At 37.9% G+C, this 24,061-nt stretch overlaps 1 protein-coding gene and 2 long non-coding RNA genes across 6 annotated transcripts in view, besides 1 other annotated feature; 1 reads left to right on the top strand and 2 right to left on the bottom strand.

Moving 5' to 3' along the window:
• LINC00869 (long intergenic non-protein coding RNA 869) overlaps window positions 1-18,006 on the bottom strand; it is a 72,512-nt gene extending 54,506 nt beyond the window's left edge. For all 4 annotated transcript variants that reach the window (NR_111950.1, NR_111952.1, NR_111951.1 and 1 more), the window contains exon 1: window positions 17,464-18,006. This is a non-coding gene — a long non-coding RNA (long intergenic non-protein coding RNA 869). The remainder of the gene's footprint in view (window positions 1-17,463) is intronic.
• Window positions 13,421-20,443, top strand: LOC124904409 (uncharacterized). The gene is made up of 2 exons (XM_047438165.1): window positions 13,421-17,247; window positions 17,393-20,443. Exons 1-2 carry the CDS (start codon window positions 16,716-16,718, stop codon window positions 18,229-18,231), a joined length of 1,371 nt encoding a protein of 456 aa, XP_047294121.1. The 5' UTR covers window positions 13,421-16,715; the 3' UTR covers window positions 18,232-20,443.
• Window positions 17,412-17,943: an enhancer, noted in NCBI's record as "NANOG-H3K27ac-H3K4me1 hESC enhancer chr1:147931672-147932203 (GRCh37/hg19 assembly coordinates)". NCBI's record gives its function as "activates a minimal SCP1, AML or CMV promoter by ChIP-STARR-seq in primed H9 embryonic stem cells {active_cell/tissue: H9 hESC(primed)}" and the evidence as "EXISTENCE:reporter gene assay evidence [ECO:0000049][PMID:30033119]".
• LOC124904410 (uncharacterized) overlaps window positions 18,403-24,061 on the bottom strand; it is a 41,997-nt gene continuing 36,338 nt past the window's right edge. Inside the window, exons 2-3 of the long non-coding RNA XR_007066582.1 lie at window positions 21,257-21,411; window positions 18,403-18,961 (exon numbers count right to left, since the gene is read on the bottom strand). This is a non-coding gene — a long non-coding RNA (uncharacterized LOC124904410). The remainder of the gene's footprint in view (window positions 18,962-21,256; window positions 21,412-24,061) is intronic.

The following is a 24,061-nucleotide window of genomic DNA, read 5'->3' as shown; positions in this document are numbered from 1 at the left end:
ACCAGTAACATCAGTTTAGCCCTAAATATTGTCATAAGTTCTCTGATAGGCTCATGTGATTTAAGCTGGTGCTCTGTCAAGACTAGACTTAGGCGTTTTATCCTTTTTATGACATTATGTATGTTGAAGAGAATATATGAATACATTTTATATATATGAATATATATAAAACCTTCATTATCACATTATTCTCAATCCAGCATTTTCTCAGCCCCTGATTTTCATGTTAGTTCAGCATTCTTACATCTTTACAGATTTTCATCTAAGACTACATTTCTACTGTTTTATATAATCAGCCCCCCTAAGATCAACATGTCCACATTTTTTGGCAAAGACAAAGCCTACTGATTTCAGGATCATTATTTTCCTTTTTCAAAAGCACAAACCCAAACTGAGAAATAAATCAAGAGAAATTCTCCTTTTTTCTATGCTAATTTAGAAGTGGAGTCTTTATTTCTTTTCAAACCCAAAGAGAATCAGACATACAATATGAATTTATTTACTTTCGCTTGCTCAGACTGAGAGGAAAGATTAATATTTTCAGGCTGTTAGTCAAAACTGTTCATTCAAATATTATTTAATAAAATCCAAGAACCAGCTAAAAAGTCGCTTAAGCTAAGAAACCTTCACCAGCCTCATGGGAAATTGTGTACAGTTTTCTACTAGAATAGCCTATAAATGCTTACTGAAAATGTCTAAGTTCATATCTTGGTAACTAACATTTTAATTCAATCTGCAGAATAATATATGCTTCTTTAGTGCTAAGATATGAATATTAGAGGCATTCTTTCTTAAAATTTCTATTTAGTTATACTTTCACAAATAACTATATAATATTAAAATTCTGCATGTGGCATAAAACATATTTTAATGGAGAAGGTAATGTGTAGGGAGTTTATTTCTGTTTGCTATTAGAACTTGTGTTTATTCTTGGTTAAAAAAACTGCACTGATTACAACATAGAAAAAAACAAAAGTATGTTGTATATCTCTTACAGTAGAAGATAAAGAGTAGATCTAAATTTAGAAAGGAAAAATAAATATACACAGTGAAAATATGTGTCAGTGAGATGTTAATCAAAGATCAACTATTGCTGAGACCAGCAATATTAAATCCCTGCACAATTACTCATATTATAATGAGAATTTTAAAAAGAAAATATGAACACATAACATAATGAAGGCAGAAGTCACTCTCATCCTTCATCTTTGTATTCCCAATTCAGGAAGCTGGTATAGTATCTTCATTATAATTACTATTCAACAAACATTTGTAAAATGAATGAATAAGGAATGAATGATGAGAAAAATGATAAACATCTCCCTCTGTCTCCTGGGAGTTAACTGCACTACTTTCTTTTAAATTTAATTAATCCTCAATGTCCTTGTAAAATAGCCAAAGGGAAAATGTATTTACATTACTCTAAATATTGATGCAATCTACAAAAAGGGTTAAACAACTTCCTCAAAGTAAATAAAACGTTCACAATCCAGCTAGGATAAAAGGATTTAAATCATTTCCTAGGTAGAGGGCTTTCAATTAGAGCCCCTGCTGCATTAACCATGGGAACTCATCTCACTCTCTTCATGATGGAGCCCTGAGTGTTGCTGCTAATCTGTACTCTACCATTCTAATGCTTTTAAGGTTCCTTTTCAGCCCTTCCTCCTCGTAATCCACAAATACTGAGACCAAGGCATTTTTTGGGTCAGTCCTAATTTCAAGCATTCTATCCTGCCCTCCCCAAATGAACTCACACTTATTAGACCATATGTTCCTATATTAGTTCAGGAAGGGGGAAAAAATGTTCATCACACTTGTATATAAGAGATCATAGAAAAACAGTTTACTAACCTGTGAAAATACCATTCATTCTCTGTTTACCTCTGGTCCACAGCTAAGCAATCAGTAGGATATAAATGTACCCTATGTTCACTATTCAGTATTCATAAGTATACTACTTATGAATTGGAAATCTGACACAACATTTACAAGACCTAATTTTGAAAATTTAAAATAGTGTAAGGCCCCTAGGCTTAATTTTACAGGGGAAAGATTAAAGGGACACAAGCAAACATATAGTCTCTCTCTGTGCTGTGGGACACTGGTAATTTTTTGACTTAAAATATTTGATACTTAAAATGCCAAACTTCTACATTTCTGCAGTAACAAGGCAGTTATCATATTGAATACCATTTCTTTCTCTCCAGTAAGTAGAGTTAATATTAGCACATGAACTGAAAATATTAAGTGATTATAAAAAAGTCCAAATAAATTCATTAAAATTTAGCTTGGCAAAATGTTAGTTTCATGTTCTTGGTAGAAGTCCTTTTATATTTATATTCAAATGAAATGAACAATTAACAAGCAAAGGAAATGGCATCAAATATTTGACACCCTGCCTCCCAAGGTGTATTGATTCATGCTTTTTGCTCAGATCTAGGTTTCTCCACTCAGGAAAAGAGGAGAATGTACCCATACTTGGGAAAACAAGTTTCCGATGGCACAGCTTTGATCAAACAGCAAAATTCTATCCATCTATGTATTGCCATCTGACAGTATGACAAATGGTCCCAAGTGTGATATTCACACTGCATTGCAGTCAAACCTGTAAGTCAAAGGATATGAAATAATAGTAACTATACATTAAGCACAGAAGAAAATGAAACAAACAAAAAGGTTTTAAACCAACCAAAAATATGTCTTATTTTGGATGTTCTATATGTTCTTACATTCTCTCAGGTCTTTTGTGTCATTATGAACACAATTCTAACAAGCTTGATTATTTTATTTCCATTCACATATTACAGGCAACAAGCTGAAAAAGTAGAACGGGGTGTAGAGAGACAGGACAAAGTACAGATTAGGGCTTGAAGTGCCCCTGACCAGTCGACAGCAACCACATGGAATAATGACTCATGTGCATTAATGATCACACTAAATGATATTTGTTTTTTACCTAGTCCTTCAACTGACAGCTTAAAGAACTTCAGGTTGTTCTGATTCTTGAGTCTCCTCTACAGCTTCAGAAAGGACTTTCATTTTATTTTGGATCAAATGCTCCACAACTAGTTGAAACTGGAATTAAATTTTATATGAAGTTCCTAGATGATTTAAAGCTGTAAGAAGAAGAATAATGAATCATAAGAAAACTTGCTGCTACAGATATCAAAAAGGAATGTTACCATCCCTCATGCTAATCCTTTTCATTTTAAATAAACAGGATCTAAAAAAAATAATGCTGGGAAGTCCTAACCACATCAAGAATGCCTCAGATCAGTGACCCAAGGAACCTTCCAGAATGGATGAAATAGACCCAAAGCTGAATTCACCTAATTTTAGGGCCAAAAACCCAAAAAACAAAACAAGACCAAAAAAATCTTCAGATACTGGGAGAACAAATCTCAATTGCTCAATTGTATCTTATGAAAACAATTTTTCAAAATAAAACAAGAGATATTTAAGATTCATTAAGTTCTTGTCATTTCAAATTTTAAGAAAAATATTTTCTAATGGAATTACATATATTTGTATGATTCTTCTAGTTATATCCATGGTAATAAATACTCTTTTCAGTTGGAAATAAAACCCATTTGTGCTATATTATTAGGGAAAATATCTACATAAATTAGTTTTTAATTTAACTAAAGTCTATCTTTTGAATTCATAAGCATAAAATTTTAACCACTTGCAAAATTTATAACACACTTAAGGTAGTCAGATGCCTTGTCAAGTAGTTTAACAAAAGTGATTTTCACCTGTTTGTTTTAATAACAGTGCATCGATTTTATGAAAATCAGGCATGCCCTCGGGTCCTAACAAAGTATACGAAGCTGAATGGATCTATGCCAAATATGCCAGATTTTACTTTCTGAGTCTGATTTTATACTTCTGTCCTCTTTCTTACCACATGGCTTCCAGTATCACTTACAGACTAACCCTTCAAAAGGAGAAGGCTAAGTTACTAACATTTGGAAGGCTTATGAAAGTGAAGCATAGTTATGAGCCAGCAATGTTTTTATTTATGGAATGTGTGCAAACCATACACTTAAGCAAGCTCTGGGGAATGAGAGTTGGGGGGAATCAACTGTTTTATTTGCTAATTGGTATTTCCTTTAAAAGATAGAGTTCTTCCAGATTTTAACTGTGTTAATAGTTACTCTAGAAAAATTGGAGATTTGTGTGCATATATTTTATGTTGTAAACAGACACATACCCAGAGACACTGAGAGAGACAGACAGACAGTAAACAGAGGAGCACTAACCACAAACGGTTTACAAATGACCTCTGTGCTCATTCACCTGTCTGTTCCCCACCTTGCCTTTTATAGCAACTATAGCAACAGCCATGAGAGTCATTGTGGAAAGAAATAAAATAAAATAAAAAAATCCTGGAAGCTTGTAAAGAATGTGAGCAAAGGGGAGGAAGTTGTGAAAAAAATGAATAAAGGGCACTGATCCAGAGTATTGAAGAAGGCAGAGTGGAGAGCCTAGTAATGAGTATCTGGTACCCCAGTATCCTCTCCCACAGAATCTGTACAGCTCTCCGTTTATGACAGTTTAAACTTAATTTAAATTATCAAACAGACACTTTCCTCAAACATATAAATGATGAGGCAGTTCATTCAGGCTGTATGTATAAAGTTGTTCCAGCCACCTTTTTCTAACGGCTTCTCTATATCTTTTACATGGAGACAATGAGAGATTTGCTTAGGACAATTTGACTGTAATTTAGAAGTAGGAAATGGGAAGTATTTGTATCTTCTTTGCCTAACTCACATTAGTTACTCAAGTAAGCATTTCTTCCGTTATTGCATTTTCCTGATTACAAGTTTTATGTTTTCTCTAAAACACATATCAAAAGAAATGTCCTAAGCACTATGCAGGGGGAAGCCATGACATTTATCCACCACTGTCAGCAAAAACATGAACTTAGCCCTCAACAGAATATTTCACTTCATTCTAGTGTTACCTCTGCGTCACCTGCACTGGAGTCACCACTTGCCTGTTGGGTAAGACCAGGATGCACCGCTGAAATAAAAAGGGGTCAGACAATACAAGAAAAGCCAGTAGAAATTGCCAAATGTATCAGAATACACACAGGCTTTCTAAGGATATGGCCCAAGAGGAAGGCTCTAGAGCCCACCCTGAAACAGGATTTTTGACTTCACAGAGAAATTATTTAATTTTCAATAACACAATTCAATTAAAGAAAGGGAAATACAAGGCTAAACAAATAAGAAATGAAGACAAAAACCCAACCTTTCAAATCTAAAGAAAATAATCTGTTTTAAAGACACAGATGAAGATCAGGAACCCAAAACAGAAGAAAGGAAAAGCAATTAACGCTGGCATCTGATAACAATGAAAAGTATGGAGTCTGGAGAATCGCTAGACTCTAAAAATTATAAAGGTTTAGACTTGGACTTTGTACACTGAAGAAAAGAAAACTGCATGCATTTATACTGACCAATGTACAATATTGCTGCTTTTTAACTTTTGTGTATATGTAGGGTAGATTTTTTTTTTAAGTGAAAGCAAGCTTATTAAGAAAGTAAAAGAATAAAAAGGTGGCTTCTCCATAGGCAGAAAACTAGCGTAGTTTTTTAATTAGAAATTGTTATTCAATAATAGTACATGTTACAAATAAATACCATTTTAAACTGAAAAAATTGTAGACTTTCAAATCAGTTAGGGTGGTCACCCTAAAAAAGGGCATTTTTCTCCCCTTAGTCTCCTTGTTCATGTTGCTCACAACAAGAAATGGGCTAATGCTATGAATAATAATAACAAACACTGCCTTCTGTCAGGCCCTGTGCTGAATACCGTCTGCATATGTATAGGAAAGGGTTAACTCAGCAGGTCTTGTTTGCCCAGACTGTGTACATTTCCAAGAAAGGTCTGCCTTTAGTACTGGTCCTTGGCCAGCTCCTGGAGAATGAGCTCTCAGCTTTTAGAAAATTCTATCTGCTGAGAATAGTTTTGCATGTCTCAGGTCTTGGGCCACAAAATATCAGTTTAATCAGATGGTTTATGTTAACAAGTATGATTTATGGCAAACATAGATCTCTAATCTCCATTTCTCTCTCATATATCTATATTTATCTATCCATATATATGTACCTATATATATCAAATATAAAGATATGTTTATAGCAATTGTATATACATAGAGAGATAGTATGTAGTATGAAGAGAGACATAGATATTATTCTTCATTTTAGAATGTTATCTTGGTATGTTTAAAAGGAAAAACTTAAGATGTGTTGCAATTGCAGTATGAGTTTCAGGTATGTACATGTTATGTGTGTGTGTGAGAGACACACACAAACACATTTCAAATATGTTTTATGTTTAAGCTCAATATTCAAACACAGAAATATAACATCTATTCTTAATATGTTTTATGTAAGTACAGCAGCAGCATTATTAAATACTGTATTTCTATGGTGATTGAAAATTAGTAGGCAGAGAATTTTTGTAATGGTTCTTAATAATTTTTGTAATAGTAAATGATTACTTTTTGTTTAGTATAGTTTTATAATCTATACATGAATAAAGTGGATATTTCTATTCATATAGAAATGTGATTTACTCTCATGTACTTATCTACATGCTAAAACCATAAGTTATCAATTTTAGTTCTGTGCCAAGGCACTTTTACTGAATAAAAATAATCAGCTAATTTTATATTTTCCTGATTCAAATTTATATGCCCGTGTAATGTTCCGGGGTTTTTTTTTTTTTAATTTCTGTAAATCAGAATATTCAGATGTTGAAAAAGTCTTTGCCTTCAGATTTAAAAGATACCTTTGAAATGTAGCATATCCCAAAATGCAACCCAGAGGCTGGCAATGTCAACATTTTTCTGTTTTAAAAAACCTCTTATGAAAACTATTGCCATACTAAATTTTTTACTTGCTGATGACTTACAGCTGGAAAGGATTCTGTACATATAAGACATCAAATATTGAGGATACTGGAACTTTTAAATTAATGGCAAAGAAAGTCAACAAAGGAAGTTCATATGAAATCAAACTAGTAATATGATTACAAAAAAAAAAGTTTAAAATTTTTCTTGGCCCCAGTCTTATCATTTCTGAGCCAAATACAATTCTATCGAAATCACCTGAAACTGAAATCACCATTCTAGGCTGGTTTTCCCATAAAGATGGACTGCTCCAAAAAGAGGAATCAAGAAAGAATTTGGCTCACAGTGAATTATTCACTTTGTCTTAGTTAACTAAAAATAAAATCTGACTGTTAACTACAGAAATCATTTCAAATACTGTGGTGATAATAAAGTAATGACTGCTTTTCAGCTGGAGGGACTTTTTTTTTTTTTTTGCTGCATATATAGCTGTGGTACATTTTAATGTGAAATGATGACTGCATCAGCTTATATCCATGGAGCAGATTTTAGCATTCAGCTTGGGTCTCCCAGTCAATATCTACGAGTCTCTTCTTAAGGAGATCGATGACACAGATACATACAGACTAACAAATGTGATACCAATAATCAAGAATTCACTCAGTTAAGATTTTGCCCACTGATTTCCACACAAGAAACCTAGAATTTACTAGATTCTTGTGCCTGTGAGGCTCCACTCGTTTCCCTGAATCACAAAAGCTACAGAGTATTTAGATAGAAATATACCTACTCTTAACATGAACCATTTTAAATATATGTATTACTGTGTCCACAGGAGTACACTTTAAAGCAGGAACTTCACTCTTCAATCTCTCCAATCATGTGTTCCCTAAAGTGGCATGTGGTTCCCTAAAGCTTAATAACTGACATTGCCTTAAAAAAGGGGTTTGCTTCCCGACTAATGTGGAAAAAGTCTGAAAAATGATTTTAAATCTTTCACTAAATTTCTCATTTGGTCACGTGGAGGAAAATGATTTCACCAAATAGATACTCTCATTAATTTTTTAATGTAATTTATCAAAGAAATGAAATATTTAGATAAATTCCAGATTTCCCCCACCATGAGCTTCTCCGAAAGTATACTCCATCACAGACTGCTCACTAAGAAGCTCTACTGCAGTCAAAGTGACCGAATTTAAGGGGACATAATGACTACTTCTGCTACACAGAAACATTATCCATCTCTAACACTTCCCTATGAGACGGAAGACGGACTTCTAATCAGGTACCAGAGAGGGCTCTGCCAACTTCAGGGCTTTGATGAATAAGAATGGTTGAGAGCGCTCATCATAAATGAATTCAGTATAACTGAGTGAGAAAGTGAGAGAACCAGAGAAATAAATCCTCATGTAGAAAATTTAGGGGCATGAAATGCCAAATGCCAGTTAACCAAAGCTTTCTTTGTCATAAAGCAACTTCTATAAAAATTGCTGAAAATAAATTCTTCATGGCTCAATGTGAACCAGTAATTTCCATTTCTATTACACTGTTGTTTACCCAAAAACTATTTTTAATGACTAAGACTCAGAGTTTGCCAGAGTGTTTTCCACAAAACAACTGTTTTGAGATACTCCAGATCTGTAATCAAGTAAGTCTGAAAAACCCCAAATACCTCACTCACCTCTTGGATATGCATAAAGCACACTAATATATAACGTTCTAAAAAGCCAATCATTAAAACTGTTTTATATTGTTTAAGCATTTCCTAGACATATTTGGCTACAAATCTAACATCTAATTAAACAGTTTGGGAAATGCCATCACATAATGTAGGAATATTACTAGTCATTTAAGAAACTAGAAAATATTTACTATATTCTAGGCAGTTGGCTAGCAGTTGGAGTTCTAGTCTCTAAACAAAATACTGACTTATTTCTGTGACTTTTTTCTTTTAAGCAGCTCTGTGCTTCACAATTTTTTTTTCCTGGTTTGTTTTCCACTTTTGTCTGTACTTTATTCCTTCACAGATGTGAAAGGCTAACAAAAGTAAACTAGTTATATTAATCAGCCTCTGCCTCAGTTCTACACTTCAAATACAGTATATACTCTATCAACAATTCTTGGATAATAACAACCTGTACTTGTTTTTCAAACAATAAAACAGGCCGGGCACCGTGGCTGGCTCACGCCCATAATCCCAACACTTTGGGAGGCCGAGGCGGGCGGATCACCTGAGGCCAATATGGTGAATTCTCGTCTCGACTAAAAATACAAAATAATTAGCTGGCCGTGGCGGTGTGTGCCTGTAATCCCAGTTACTTGAGAGACTGAGACGAGAGAATCGCTTGAACCCGGGGGGCAGAGGTTGCAGTGAGCCAAGATCACACCACTGCACTCCAGCCTGGGCAACAAGAGCGAAAACTCCATCTTAAAAATAAAATAAATAATAAAACAATGATGAAAACACAACTAACTACAGCACTTCAGAGTTAGTTGACAAATCCACCTTTTCAATCTACATTTCAAAATGTTCAGAAAGACACCATCCTAGGGGAAGTCAACCAGCAGCAACCTCTCTGCTAATTTTTGTACACAGAAACTTGACCTGACTGCACAAAGATTTCAATAGATGTCTCCCTCTAAAATTAATATTGGATGATTTGTCATCTTCCATTTAATACCAAAAGGGTATCAGCCACAAACTGAAATATCACTCATATGCAAATAAATAACATTCAAGACTTTTATCGTTGTGGTTATTAATCTTGTAATGGATGGACATAAATCTATTTACATTCTCATCCTATCCTCAAATTTCACTATCCTCTCCTCTCATTCTTACTTTGTTCTACTCATATTCTCACTCTATCCTCCTATGCATAAAATATTATGTATTCTAATGAACAGAGATACCATTCGTGGGCAAGGAAAAAACACAATGAACTGCTCTTTATAATAAAAAACCATGATCTTGACACAGATGTTATCAATCAATAAACTTTACACAGCTTTACACTAAATTAATGCAAACTGCTGATGAGTGGGTGGGGGGTGGTCACTAAGCAAACAGAAGCATGTAGGTGTTAGGAAGCACGAGAAACATATATCAGTGGGTAGGGAAGGCAGCTCTCAAAGGCCAAGAATATAAGTTTTAGGTCTATATGGAAAAAGCTGTGGTCACATTCGAAGGCTTCTGAACAGAAGAATGATTAATTTCATGCTTAAAGAGTTCATGTGTAAATAAACTGGATGGATAAGAAACTCAAAATCAAGAATTTTAAGACACTGGGTTAAGGTGATTGAGCTAAGTCAAAGCCAACAGGGCATGGGCTAAATATTGACATGGGATGGGATGAAGAGGCCAACAATGTTTCAAAGCAGAGGTTGCCGGAGCTTCAGGAACCAGAAGAGGAAGACTTGAGGTGAAATCTGAAACTGCAATCCCCATGCCTGGCTCAAAAGATGTGATACTGACTAGGAAAAGGCTGGAGAGAGAAGCTTCTTTTAAAGAGGTAATAAGGGATTGTTTTGATGTGCTGGGTTGAGGTGAAAATGACAAATATTCAGGTGGAAGTGTCCAGCATTCAAGTAGGATAACTTGGAACAGAAAGCCCAAATTATGTCATGGTGAAATGAGGATAATGTCTTATTAATAAAAACACGTCTTACTAGTCTTTCCTGGGGAACATGAAAGATAGAATTTCAGAAATTTAGAGAATGAAAAAGGAAAGATTACAAGGCAATAAGTTGATTAAAATAGACTAAAATAAACTAATCAGTGGCAGCTATCTTAAAGCAAGATATATCTTCTACAGCACGATCTACCCAAATGCAAATCTGGGCAGAGAAATACAAAATATTTTTAGGACTGACAAAATTTCAGCTATATGTCTTTTTAAAAATGCTGCAGAGAGAAATTTAGATGGATTGGACAAATATTCGCATAAGGATTCCACAGCCAACGTACACAATTTTCCAACTACTATGGTTAGCACTGGGCTCAGGCACTACCTTTACCAACCAGCAGATTTTCAGTATTGCCCCTGGCAGACATCCCATTAGCAATCTCTCCCCATTCCCAAACATTCCCAACTATTCTAGTCATGCCAATTCAACCAATGTCCCTTAAGCCTTACATAAACATTGACTTACACCGAAATGTATCCTATGGCTCTTACTAACTGTAACTTACTTAAATCACCCAAGCCTCTGTTTTCCCTGCTATAAAATGTAAAATAGCTGACAAAATACCTATTTGTATTTTTTGGAAACACGGGATAAAGCAAGGCAAGCAAAAAGAACAGCAGAGACAATGCTTAATAAATATCCTAGTAGGATCACCTTAATCCATGAAGAAAATGGAGTTTAATTTTTTTAATACAAAAAAACTCAATGAAGTTATACTTACGTTAAATTGGTGGTTATTTTAGTTCAGTGGTTTTAAAACTCAACAATGAAACTTTTCAAAAAGAGTTGTTATACAGAACAGAAAAAAGCAGCCACAATTTTAAAAAAGATATGAAGACCCAGATTCTCACTAACTCATTCAGCTCCCTTCATACTCCCTCCCCACAGCCACCCCAGCTCCTGAGGCAGGTTCCCAGGGCTCCAAGGAACATACTTTTAAAAAATCAGTATTTTGAATACATAATAAGTGATGTAACTTAAAAGTATGGTGAGAAAGTCCCATTGCCAAGAGAAACATGTTAATTTAATTTTTTATTTAAAAAATCATCACTCGTTTCATTGTGACATCTTGAAGAACGCTGAATGGCTTCAAAATAACTGCATATGCCAAGATTTCTGGAGTGGGCACGTTTGATCTTCTTTCATAATGAAAACTGACAAACCTTTTTAAGGGGATAGTATTGTTTCTTCACTCTCCCCCCTCCTCACCCCTGCACACACATACATTTCTCCTTCCTGGGGAACTCCAAAGAAAACAAAGGCCCTTTAGCAATCAAGTAGATTGTCTCTCTTGATGGCATCCCATGAGTTATGGAATTACATACTGCAGGCCCAGGTGGATTAGGGCCCCTAGAAAGTTTGCTTGATCAACAGAGTGCTGTTGATTTTTTCAACTGAATTAATTACTCTTGGAGTCCAAACTCTCCAGTGTGCCACAGTCCTCATCACTTCCTGTATCTTAAATATTGCATTATCTGTCCCCTAAAAGTATTTGAACATGTGACCCAGAGAAGGGGACTTACAACTTGACTAGGCAACTTCTGTCACACTGGATTCATATGAAATTCCACTGCAAGTGACATCACCAGATTGGGGACCCTGAAGTGTTTGAGTATCTTCTCCACATCTGGTCATTTAGGCTAAGAAATTCCTTCTTGTCTACCAGGTCTTTTAGCATTCATTTTGTAAGTCATTCAACACCTACTTACTGAGAAGGAATACTGGGCTAGACAGTGTGCTAGGGGCTGGGGAAACCGCAATGCATAGGAGAGAATTCCCATCTCCAAGAGGCTCACAGTCAAACAGACATAAATAGGTGATTACAATACACACTAACAACATAGTTTTAGAAACAACTAGCAGAATTATATAGACGAAGATGCCAGGAAATGCTTCTCAGAGAATCTGGCTTGGCAAATATCTCAACAAAGAGGGCTGAGCAGGGATGAGCCGAAGGAGAGGATGGAAAGTAGGTTGTGGGTGAGTTTTCCAGGCAGCATGTGCAAAGGTCCAGGAGAAAGAGGAAGGAGCCTGTACTTGGAGGAATATTCGATTACTATTATCAGTGTCACACTTGCTATTCATCTAGACAGAAGCTCCTGAAACAAAAAGGATACACTTCAAAAGATGCCAATATATCCATGACCACACAAAAGAGTGTCTAGTCATATAATAAAGGGTGTACATATGCAGGCAACTCACATCCTGCCAAATATTAAATTTCTAATTTTATTATAATTTCAAATAAAACATTAGATTTATTATTATACAGAGTCATACTCCTTGACTGGGAAACTCTCAACTCAATAAACATTCTTTAGTCTCATGTCTTTTCTAAAGGAAAGAAATTAATGTTATATTCTTGGGTGAAAAAAAATGTGAGGTCTCAAAAGAGTATAATACAATTTGGGGATGCATATATATTTTACATGTATATAGACACATAAAAATCTAAAAGAATAAATTTTAATATGTTAACAGAAGACAGAAGTCATGTATTTTTTACTTTCTTCTTTTTGGCATATCTCTTTTTCTAACTTTTTTTTTTTCTTTTTACAAAAAACAATTGTTATTTGTGTACTTTTAAAACCTCACAGTAATATTTTCACACTACCTTCTTGGCTGAAAGTTCACACTCGGAATTCCAGAGCAGTCCATGGCCAGGCCCACTGGGCTCCCCTTGCTCTCTCCTTGGCTTTGGTAACCACTGGCCCCAGGGACTCAGCCTGCTTTCCTATCCATCCCCTCAGTAGCTGTCACCATGCAGGTTACCCCTTCTGTTTCTTCTACCACTAACTCCATGTCTGACTGCAAGTGAAAGGAACAGAAGCCCAAACCTTTGGGTTTTAAGGAGTTTATTGCTAATCTGTAAAACAGAAAGAGACAGGAGATAAGCATGACAAAATATAGGGAAGAAATGACTTTTGCCTAAACTTCCAAATTGTGTACAATTGAAGCCTCTGCTTTATAGCTCTTAGCACACCTCTCAAATAAGAAGGCAGTACTGGGAAGGCTCTGAACCTGTGGCAGAACCACTGATAGCTGTGGAGCTATTCCAAGGAGTCTGGGAATCAGGGGGATTATCAAGATCATTGTTAGAATAAATTAATCTTACTGTATATATAGCAGAAGTTTTCAAGCATATGTAAATGCTACTAATAACCAAATAATTACACCTTGTTTTTCTTTAAACTGTAACTCTCAAGTATGTCTCTACATAATTTTTTGATGGTAGTGTCTGCATGCTCAAAAAGCTTGAAAACACTACTGGAGAAGAAGGTCTCGGGAGTGTGATGAAATACGTTTACATGGCAGCTTCATCATTTAATTGGTGAAAGTGACTATGTGTCTTAAACTCTCTGAGCCTCAGTTTGCACATCCAAAAGCAAGGATATAATGCCATGAACCTTTCCACCTCAAGTCCACAAGGCAGAATAGCAAGATGTTAACTGCCACTCTGAGGACCACCAAATAAAAGGACAATTTATTAGGCCACTTGCCAGCATGGACACAATCGACTCTTGGCATTTCTTATTATCCACAGAAAAATTAAAAGTATAAATGTAGAACAAAATTATCGTGTTTTTTTTAATAGTAACATGTAAGATCAATCTTTGTCTTTAAAATACCGTGTATCTCATTCTTGGAAAGCGTCAAAATGAAAATGGTATAGTAAGTTTTACCTACAACTTGAATTAAAATTATTCTTGAAATATGTTCTGAATGGTTAGATGAAATGGTAATTAAATACAAATAGAGATAATCATATACTCTCTCTCCATAAGGCTCCCACCTCCTTCAATGAAGTCTAGTTCACCTAAAATGACACTATTAACATTAATTCAATATTCTAAGTTGATAAGCACATTAAATCAAAACACAGCAAGATTATTTTAAGAGTCTGACTGAAATGTCAGGATGAGAAATAGATTAATAAATATTGGCTTCTAATGTTGGTAATGAAAACAAACACGTTATTTTCAGAAAATAAAAGGTCTTCGCCATTAGGTACAAATCATAAAGGGATTATCTACAGTTACTACACTGTAACAACTTTTTACATATTGTATTATAGAACAAGCTTTTGAGAAGACAAAGCAACACATCAGCAGTTTAACCAATTGTCTTTCTCTTTTAACAGGCTGGTCTACATTAGATTAGATATAAAAGGCCCAGGTATTACTTGTGTTCGATCTTAGCCAAATGGCTGAGAAACATCCAGGTACATTTAAGTCAGTGACAAAAGAAAACACTATCCCTTAGTAAAATTACATAAAATAGGAAACATCTCTTACTTTAAGAGCAACCATGGTACTTGTTCCTATGGTGAAAACTGATGTTATCTCGATTAGTTAATTATTCATCCCAACACCTGGTCTTGCTCCCTTTTCCACCTCTAGCTATGTTAACAATAGAGTTCAGTAATTTGCTGATAAAGAATCTTAACTGCAGTATCTAACAGACCTTAGTGATTAAGCATATGACTTACCCTTTGTACAGAAGTAAACTGAGGCCAAAAGAACTGAGGTATCTTATTAAAAATCAGAGAGCTAGTTAGTTGAAAAGTCCACCTGTCCTTCCTTTCCACATGTCTCACCAGAAAAACAGCAATGGTGAAAAGTCAACTCTGTTTTTAATGGGCCACTTTGTATATTTTAACTGTTAAAATAATCCAAGAGGATAGTAGTCATATACGAAGATCCTTTAGATATAATGTGTAGGACCAGCATTAATTTAATCAACCAAGTCTCCTCTCATTGAATTGTTAATTCATAATTACAAAGATGACATTACAGTAAATTAAGAAATACTGTAATTTCATTCTCTCCAAAAAGTATACATTGAAGTTTGGTGAATACTGTTATATTTTCAACTAATAAATCAATGTGCCAATTCTGGGTCTTAGGCATATTGTATATACTGGAATGATATTCACTTTAATTAAATTTGTTTTGAGATGTAGAATGTAATACAGATCCTACGTGTTTTTAAAAGTTCACATCAATTTCAAGCTTTTAAAAATGTATGTACACAAGAAAGCTTCTTTTGCAATTTATATGTTTACAAATGTTGCCATTAGCTAAGCTATATTTTGGAATGTGATCAAACAATATTGAATGTCAAGTCTTAACAGCAGGGCTGGTCTAAGGAATTCCCTCTAAGCTAAATCTGATCCTTTCATATGTGGCTACTGCTCTTTTAAACTACTGTATCCCTAAAGGGCTAAAAGGAAGAAAATCCTAACTTAATAAGTGAAGGCAGCAAGGCATAGTATTTGAATGGCTACCTTTCATTTTAACTCTACTTCTTAAATTCAAAATTGGATTTGGGTTTGTTTCAAGTTGTTCACAATTTACTAACGAAATGTGCATCTCTCATTCTTCCCCCAAAAGAAAGAAGTCATCCACTCCAGCTACATATAAGTCTCCAATTTCTGTCTTACAACTAAACGTGAAAACCGAAATACCACTCATTGAAAAAAAAAATGTACAGAGAATTGGCAGGCTGCATGTTTATGTGAACCTTCAGAAAACATGGAAACACGCAGCCCCAACTCACCAGGAAAATCAACACTTGTGATCAAACTATTTTGTGACATTTTATGTCTTTTATACATTTCACTTCATATCCAGTATTCCAGTTTTGCACCGGCTTGCCTGTATCAACCCCAAATCGCCTGAGAGCAATCTAGTACTGTAGCAGAACCGTTTCAACATGAAGAGTTCTGCTCATCGCCTGTGGCGTGGTCTTCGAAACACCTGAATCAAACATTGATTCCCCTCTCCCTGCTATTTAAAACCGAGGGACGTCAGGCTTGGGTTGTAGGTAAAGAAAAGCCACAGTAATCAAACAAGCAACCAAAATACCCGAACACGGAACACGCTAAGAACAAAGGAAACACAAGAGTGTGAACAGGAAATGAAGCAACTCTACACCCATAAATACCTTCTGGGGCCGCCAACATAGGTAAAAGTAAAGGTGGAGTCTGAGTATCTGAAATCTGAAACAGAAAGTCCTGTCAAAAGCTACCCCTGGAGTGGATTTGTTTTAACCCCGATCAGGACTTGGGCCCTCCATTTGGTGGAGTCAGGGGAGGCCTGGCCGGGCGGGAGGCGAGGGCTAGAGGGCGGCGAGGTCTCTCCGCGCAGCGTCCGAGGGGATGCGGCGCGCCCCCGACTGGGTGCAGCGGCAGGCCGCCCCCGGCAGCAAGTGCCGGGTGCCATGGCAACGGCGGGAATTTCCCGGTCGGGGAGGCCGGAAGCAGCCCCAGCCGGGCTCGCGGCAGCGAAAGCAAAATCCGATCTCTCTCCCGGGGGAGCAAAATGGACGAAAGGCGACCCCCCAGGCAGGGGCGCTGGGTGCCTTGGGAATCCGAGGAATCCCTTCTCTTTGCCAGTCGGAGGGGACTAGATGGAGCCGAAGGGGCCGGAGATGGGCCGAGCGCTGCCCCCCGGGGGTCCTCGGCGCCGGGCGCAGCTTAGGAGCGCAGCGCAGCAGGCTCCATTCCCGGCCGCCGCCGCTCAGCCCATTACGCAAACCTGGCGGGTCCAACCAACCCCGCTCTGCCGCCGCTGCTGGAACCCAGGAGGCGTGCTTGCAGGCTTCGGGCACTACGCGGGGCTGGAAATACCACGCACTGCCCCTTCGCCTAGACCCCCGCTCGGGCCACGCGGGTTCTGCCCTCAAAGCTGGTAGCTGCCCCATACTTGGGGGTGGGGGGAGGGGAAGGGGCGAGGCTGGCGCCCCCTCCCGCTTTTGGCTCCCGCGTTCGTTGCAGCAGCTGTTGCCAAATGAACCCCGGAATGCGGACGTGCAAACCCTCCACCCCACCCCCAGCCACACACGTCGCGGTCGGAGAACTGAGAAAGGGGCGCTGGGTCCGAGGTTCTGGAAAAGCAAGAACTCACCTGCAAACAGGCAGTCCTCAGCTCTGGACTTCTGGATCACGACGTCGATATCCTTCTGAATTCGGTCTTGCCTTGAACACATCCCCATTAAATAAATCCTTGGAAAAGAAGCAGCCGCTATTTCCACCCCACCCCCCTCGCACGCTTTCAGCTTTCGTAAATATTCAGTTAAAAATGAAACCTCTGGCCGAGGCAGGGGCTGAAGGCCAAGTGGTTTTGGAAGTGATCCTGGGTGAGAGGAGGAGGAGGAGGAGGAGGAGGAGGAGGAGGAGGTGGAGGAGGAGGGGGAGGTCGGCTTTCCATTTCCAGATGTTACCGTCCAGCTGCTGCTCGCCGCTGCTGGATTCCAGTTTCCTCCCCTTCTGGCGATGGATTGGTGATGACACCGAGTCTCACTTTCTCCTTCCCCCGCCCGGACCAACCGCCGTGGGGGGCCGAGGGTGCCGGGGACGGCCGGAGAGCGATCACCGGCTGGGCGGCGGGAGCCGACGAGGGGCGAGCCCCGCTCCGGCTCAAGCGCGCACACCCCTCACGGCCCGCACTCCGGCCTTCCACACCCGTGCACACTCTCGCCCGCGGGCGGCGGCAGCCGTGCCCAGGCTGCTGCAGCGCCACCCGCCCGCCGCGGACCCTCCGCGCCCTCCGCCTAGTCACCCGGCCCGGCCGCGGGCCGCCGGGGCTCGCAGAGTGTCAGCCATCCCGGGCAGGAGTCGCGTCTCCCCACCCCGACCTCCACTCGCGCCGGGAGCTGAGCGGCAGTGTAGGTAGTGAAGACTCCCTGGGGCTCCCAGCCTTCCCTCTCCGCGCTCTCCCCCCGTCACTTTTATGAATTCGACTCCACTTTCTAAAGGAATTATGAGTCTTGTGGCAAACACAAACCGGAGTGGCCGGGAGGGGGAAAAGGGGGGAAAAGAAAATCTTTAAAAATTAAAAAAATAATAAAACGAACAAATCTCTACTTGTTGCCACATCAGATAACACGGAAAAAGCCTTGAAATTACTCCAGATGTGCACCCTCCCCTTCCCTCAGTGCCTGAGTCTTTTTCTTCCAGATCGAAGTATTTCAGCCCTTTTGGGGCGCCGTTTGCGAAACACAGCCCCTTTTGAGGGACTTCCTCCTCTTGAAAAGACTCACCAGTTCTCCCTTCCTAGGTGTTTCTGTTCATGAGAAATTGTCAGAATCAACTGGCACGTTCCAGGGTCTTCCTAAAGGATGGAAACCTGTTTGGCTTGCTTTTTAAAACCACCTCCTTTGACAGTCAGCCCAGGGAAAGCTACAATCCAGGTTTTCAGAAATGAGATACTGCTCTGATTCTCACTTTCTGTTCTGCCTAAGGACACCTCAGGCTGACGTAGCTGCCCCACCTCTATATTGGTTTATGCCCTAGGAGGGGTCTCCAGCAGGCACTTTTCTTGTTGATCTTTTCTCCGCTGAGAAGGCTCCCGCCAGTAGACCATGACTCGTTTTGCTTTGCATTCTCAGTGCCACGTACAGTGCCTGGAATACAGGAGGGTGGCCTAAATGTTGGCTGAATGCATGAATGGTCATTTCTTGCAGCCTCTTTTCATTACCCTGTCTCATCAGCTTTCTTATCAGAATAAGTGCCCAAGAGTGCCAAACGGTTTCAGACCCTTAATCAATTTAGTTCTGATTCTGACCGTGACAACATGATGTTCAGCACGGTAGGAATGACTGCCATCTCTGAAGGAGTCTTAAGATTCTGTAGAATCAGTGAAAGATTCTATGTTCTAACGCCTTTATCTTTCAGGAAAGAAATTACAAAATAGTTTCATTGTCCAGTCATATTCACTATGAGTTATAAGAGGAAACATTCTATCTAGAATTAGAAATACCATTTGACCCAGCCATCCCATTACTGGGTATGTACCCAAAGGACTATAAATCATGCTGCTATAAAGACACATGCACACGTATGTTTATTGCGGCACTATTCACAATAGCAAAGACTTGGAACCAACCCAAATGTCCAACAATGATAGACTGGATTAAGAAAATGTGGCACATATACACCAGGGAATACTATGCAGCCATAAAAAAGGATGAGTTCATGTCCTTTGTAGGGACATAGATGAAATTGGAAATCATCATTCTCAGTAAACTATCGCAAGAACAAAAAACCAAACACCGCATATTCTCACTTATAGGTGGGAATTGAACAATGAGAACACATGGACACAGGAAGGGGAACATCACACTCTGGGGACTGTTGTGGGTTGTGGGGAGGGGGGAGGGATATCACTGGGAGATATACCTAATGCTAGATGACGAGTTAGTGGGTGCAGCGCACCAGCATGGCGCATGTATGCATATGTAACTAACCTGCACATTGTGCACATGTACCCTAAAACTTAAAGTATAATAATAATAAATTTAAAAAAAAGAACAAAACATCACATTGTACCACATAAAAAAAAAAAAGTTGGATTTTGCAAGGAAGATAGACATCTGAATAAAGTTTGGCCAAGCAAGGAATCTTTGTTAGTACTACTTCTTGTTTAAGGAAAGAAGAGACACTCATCTTTCCTTCAAACAATATAAGTCTCTTTTCTTGTTTGATCACCTTTTATTCATTAAGAACCAGTTGAATCATCTGTTGGGACTTGGTAGCAGAGGATATTTCCTGGATAGTGTGAGCTATCAAGCCTTTAATGTGGGAAGTTTAGTTTCTATAAAAATAAAATTAAAAAAGATTAATAGTTGGAACGAACTATAAAGACAGTTTCTGAGCCCAGAGGGCAGCTGATCAATAAGATTTCTAGATGCTGGGCTTGTAGTATCTTCAGCTGGAGTGAGAAGAGGCATTGGATTAGTTTGCAGTTTGAATGCCATAAAGATGGGCCACACACAAGCTGTTGTGGTAATTTTTCTGAAGCTTATGTCAAGTCATCCAGTTTCAGTTTGAAGGACTTCAAGAAATGAAAAGTTTATAATTTTAGTGATTCCAAGCCAGAATAGCAGGAAAAAAATGAAATATTAATTTGGAGTGTTGTAGCTAAATATTGTAGTAAACTAGAAAAATTGAGGATCTATTGCAGATTGCAGGCAGATAATAAAACCTCAGAAAAAAAAAAACAGCTAGAATCTAATATTGGGTGCACTGCAGTTTTCTCCCGAAACATAACTTTTCTCTCTATATTCACTCTCATTTCTGTCAAAGATAATCAAAGTCAGATTGATTTGTTTGCTAAATAAGTTTAATCTCATTAAACTTGTACTGGTTATGTACACAAGTGCAGTTAAGAGTAGTGATTGACCATTTAGGCTCTTCTAAAGGTTGCGTTTGTCAGATAAGAAATCTCAGATTAAACTTTTTGTTTTTGTTTTTTTAGACAGAGTCTCCCTCTGTCTCTCAGGCTGGAGTGCAGTGGTGCGATCTTGGCTCACTGCAACCTCCGCCTCCTGGGTTCAAGCGATTCTTCTGCTCAGCCTCCCGAGTAGCTGGGATTATAGGTGCGTGCCACTATGCCTGGCTCATTTTTTGTATTTTTAGTAGAGACAGGGCTTTCACCATATTGGTCAGGCTGGTCTTGAACTCCTGACCTCGTCATCCACCTGACTTGGCCTCCCAAAGTGCTGGGATTACAGGGGTGAGCCACTGTCTCCAGTCAGATTAAACTTTTAAAAGCCACTTGAGGCTGGGATACAAGCCCAAAACTTGTCATTAGTCTGCACCTGTTACATTTATAGATTTAGATAAATTTCTCTCTTCTTGAGGTCCCTAAAATATCCCAAGGTTTCCAGACCTGCCAAGCAGTGACATTCTTTACTTACCTGTAAGTCTGGGAACCCTAGAGCCAGTTTTTCCAAGATGGTACTTTATTGGTTCCATAAAGCCAACCTTAGTCCCCTAAAGCCTTCTGGTCATATCTGAAAACATGATGTTTCAGTCAAAGCCTTGGTGATATAACCTGTGTTTCCAGTTTGTCCTGTTACAAAGACAACAGATTCTTATTAAACTTATGCAAATAAATACATTGCCATAAAAATAAGAATATGCACAAATAGTTTCCAAATTCTGGAGGGATAAGTTAGGGAGAAAAAGTAAATGTTTCCATTTTGCACAAAAGTATTCTTTACTGAATTGGTGTAAGCTAGAGATAGCTTAAAAGAAAGTTTTCTGAAATCTGGAAAACAAAACATTTAAAGAACTAGCAATGTTTCCAACAAAAAGTCATTTTAAAAATTATTCTCATCAGTTCATTCAGTACCATGTAATTAAATCTTGTTTTGCTTGATCTTGGGTTAGTAGTTACATGAACCCGTCAGTTTTATTAGAGTTCTGGAAATTCTTACCAGTCCAATTGTATGACGTTAAAGTTGTTCAGAAACCTGTATTCCAGAATACTCATAAGAGTATTTTCCATAAATCTCCTTGAAGAAGAAGCCATTTTGGACTGTAGCTAATTTCAAATGCTTTTAGAGAACAATTAAATTAAAACAATAACTGTCTACAGATGACAAGGACTTAAAGTGTCCATGGTTAAAAAATTTAATGAGAGTTCATTACAATGATGCAATTTATAAGAAAATTTGGTTAGCATGGCATACAGCATTTTAACATAATAACCAAAATTATGACTGATAACATACTAGATTTCTAGGAATCTCATACAACTTTTGTACACTTATCCCAATAATATATCCATAAATATAACTTAAAGATGGCTTAGCATCACTTTTTATTTGAATGTTACACATATAATTTAGCATATTAAATAAATCTAATTGGTTTAATCTCTCTTTCATACAAAAAAAAATATACTTTGTGGCTTTCTGAGGGTCCAATATGGAGAATCCTAAGTTAATTTGAGGTCAAAAAGACTTAACTTAGAATGTGATTTTGGGAAGATTGTCAAAAATGTCAAAAAGTTTAAAACATTTAAAACAAATATGACCATAGTTATCTATTTAATAAAAGCTCCATTAAAAGATTTTAAAGGCAAATTCAGATTACATAGTTGTGAACAAGAACTTAGCTCCTTTAATATTGAGAAGACTCACTTTTCTTAAGTAACCAAAAACCTAATAAAACAACATGAAACTCAAGAAATTATCTTGATGAAACAGAGTCTCTGTTTCTGAGGCCAATTACTGAAAAGGAAAAAAATACCCTTTACATTCTCAGACCAACATTCCAAGAAAACTTTACCATTTTAACGGAGAAGATCAAATTCTACTTTTGAATCAATGTATTACTAAAACTAAGTTTTAATAAAACCTTATAAATAAATCTATCCAATCTCAGTCAGCTTAGACCATACAAGATAAGATTTTCACAATCCTTCTAGACATCTTTTCTTATTTACTTTTGCAACAGACATACACCAGACAATTAAGCAATTTACTTTTACTACATATTCTACTCTTAGGTTGAATTTATGGTTTTATGGCCTTAAACATCTAACAGTAACAACACAAACTTGTCTAATCAGCAAAGCCAGGTAAAACAAGTGTATGCTGACAATTCTGAAAATGTTTCTATTTTTATTTTACCAATATTTTTTAAACTAGTTTTCATTTACTAAGGAATATCCCAGATTATGTGAACTTAAAAAAAATTGGGTCAGTTTCTACTTTTCTGAAAATTTTATACATTCTTATTTGTTTGAGTGCTCATTTATCCCTAGCCAATTTGGGTATTTTAGTTTGGTAATAACGTTGGAAGTAGAAAAATATCACATATACATAACATAATAACATAGATACACACATGTACACATACACAAACATATAGACTGATGTAACCAGATCTTATGACTTCTCATTTAAAAAATTTTAACCAGGCCAGGTGCAGTGGCTCATGCCTGTAATCCCAGCACTTTGGGAGGCTGAGGTGGGTGGATCACCTGAGGTCAGGAGTTCGAGACCAGCCTGGCCAATATGGCATAACCCCGTCTCTACTAAAAATACAAAAATTAGCTGGGCGTGGGGCATGGTGGCGCCCGGCTGAGGCACAAGAAGCACTTGAACCCAGGAGGTGGAGGTTGCAGTGAGCCGAGATTGCCCCGCTGCACTCCAGCCTGAGCAATGAAGTGAGACTCTGTCTCAAAAAAAAAAAAAAAAAAAAAAAAAAAAAAAGTTTTTAACCATGAGGCAGTAAAACAGAGTAATACAAAAATACAAACTCACTGGTTTATCTCCGCTTTATATTGTTATCCAAATTGTGTTTCTGGTGAAAAAGGGATAAGTTGAGTTGACCTACATAACAAAGGCTAAAGCTTTTTACCAATATTTTTGGAGGAGGTTTTTTAAGATTTTTTTTTTTTTTTTTACTTTATCAGTTTCCAAACAGTTTCTTTTTTTCTCCTATTATCAGCCCCAGGTGCTTGTTTTTGAGGGGCCTCTGAGTCCCTTGAGAGCCCCCTCAAAGGAGGGTAGGATAGGGGTCCTGAAGTTCAGCAGAAAAGAAACGGGTCTGGCAAGAGTGGACAGAGAAATAGTCAGCAGAGACTTGAGAAGAGGGGTTTCAGGTGACAGAGCTCCCATGGGAGAAGCAGGATCCAATAGAGAGAAGAGAAAGAGCAGAGTGGTTTTATAGAGAGCCAGGAAGAACAATTTGTAGCCCAGGGAATCAGG

The sequence above is a fragment of the Homo sapiens genome, chromosome 1 (assembly GCF_000001405.40).
Source record: "Homo sapiens chromosome 1, GRCh38.p14 Primary Assembly".
Classification (NCBI taxonomy): Eukaryota; Metazoa; Chordata; class Mammalia; order Primates; family Hominidae; genus Homo; species Homo sapiens.
The sequence above is the reverse complement of the archived record's forward strand: the minus strand, read 5'-3'. Positions and strand labels throughout refer to the sequence as shown.

Bases quoted from the DNA above. Each gene is read 5' to 3' on its own strand.
- LOC124904409 (XM_047438165.1), top strand. From the start codon at position 16,716: ATGCGGCGCGCCCCCGACTGGGTGCAGCGGCAGGCCGCCCCCGGCAGC. The intron at 17,248-17,392 runs GTAGCTGCCCCA...CCCCACCCCCAG, and splicing joins GGGTTCTGCCCTCAAAGCTG to CCACACACGTCGCGGTCGGA.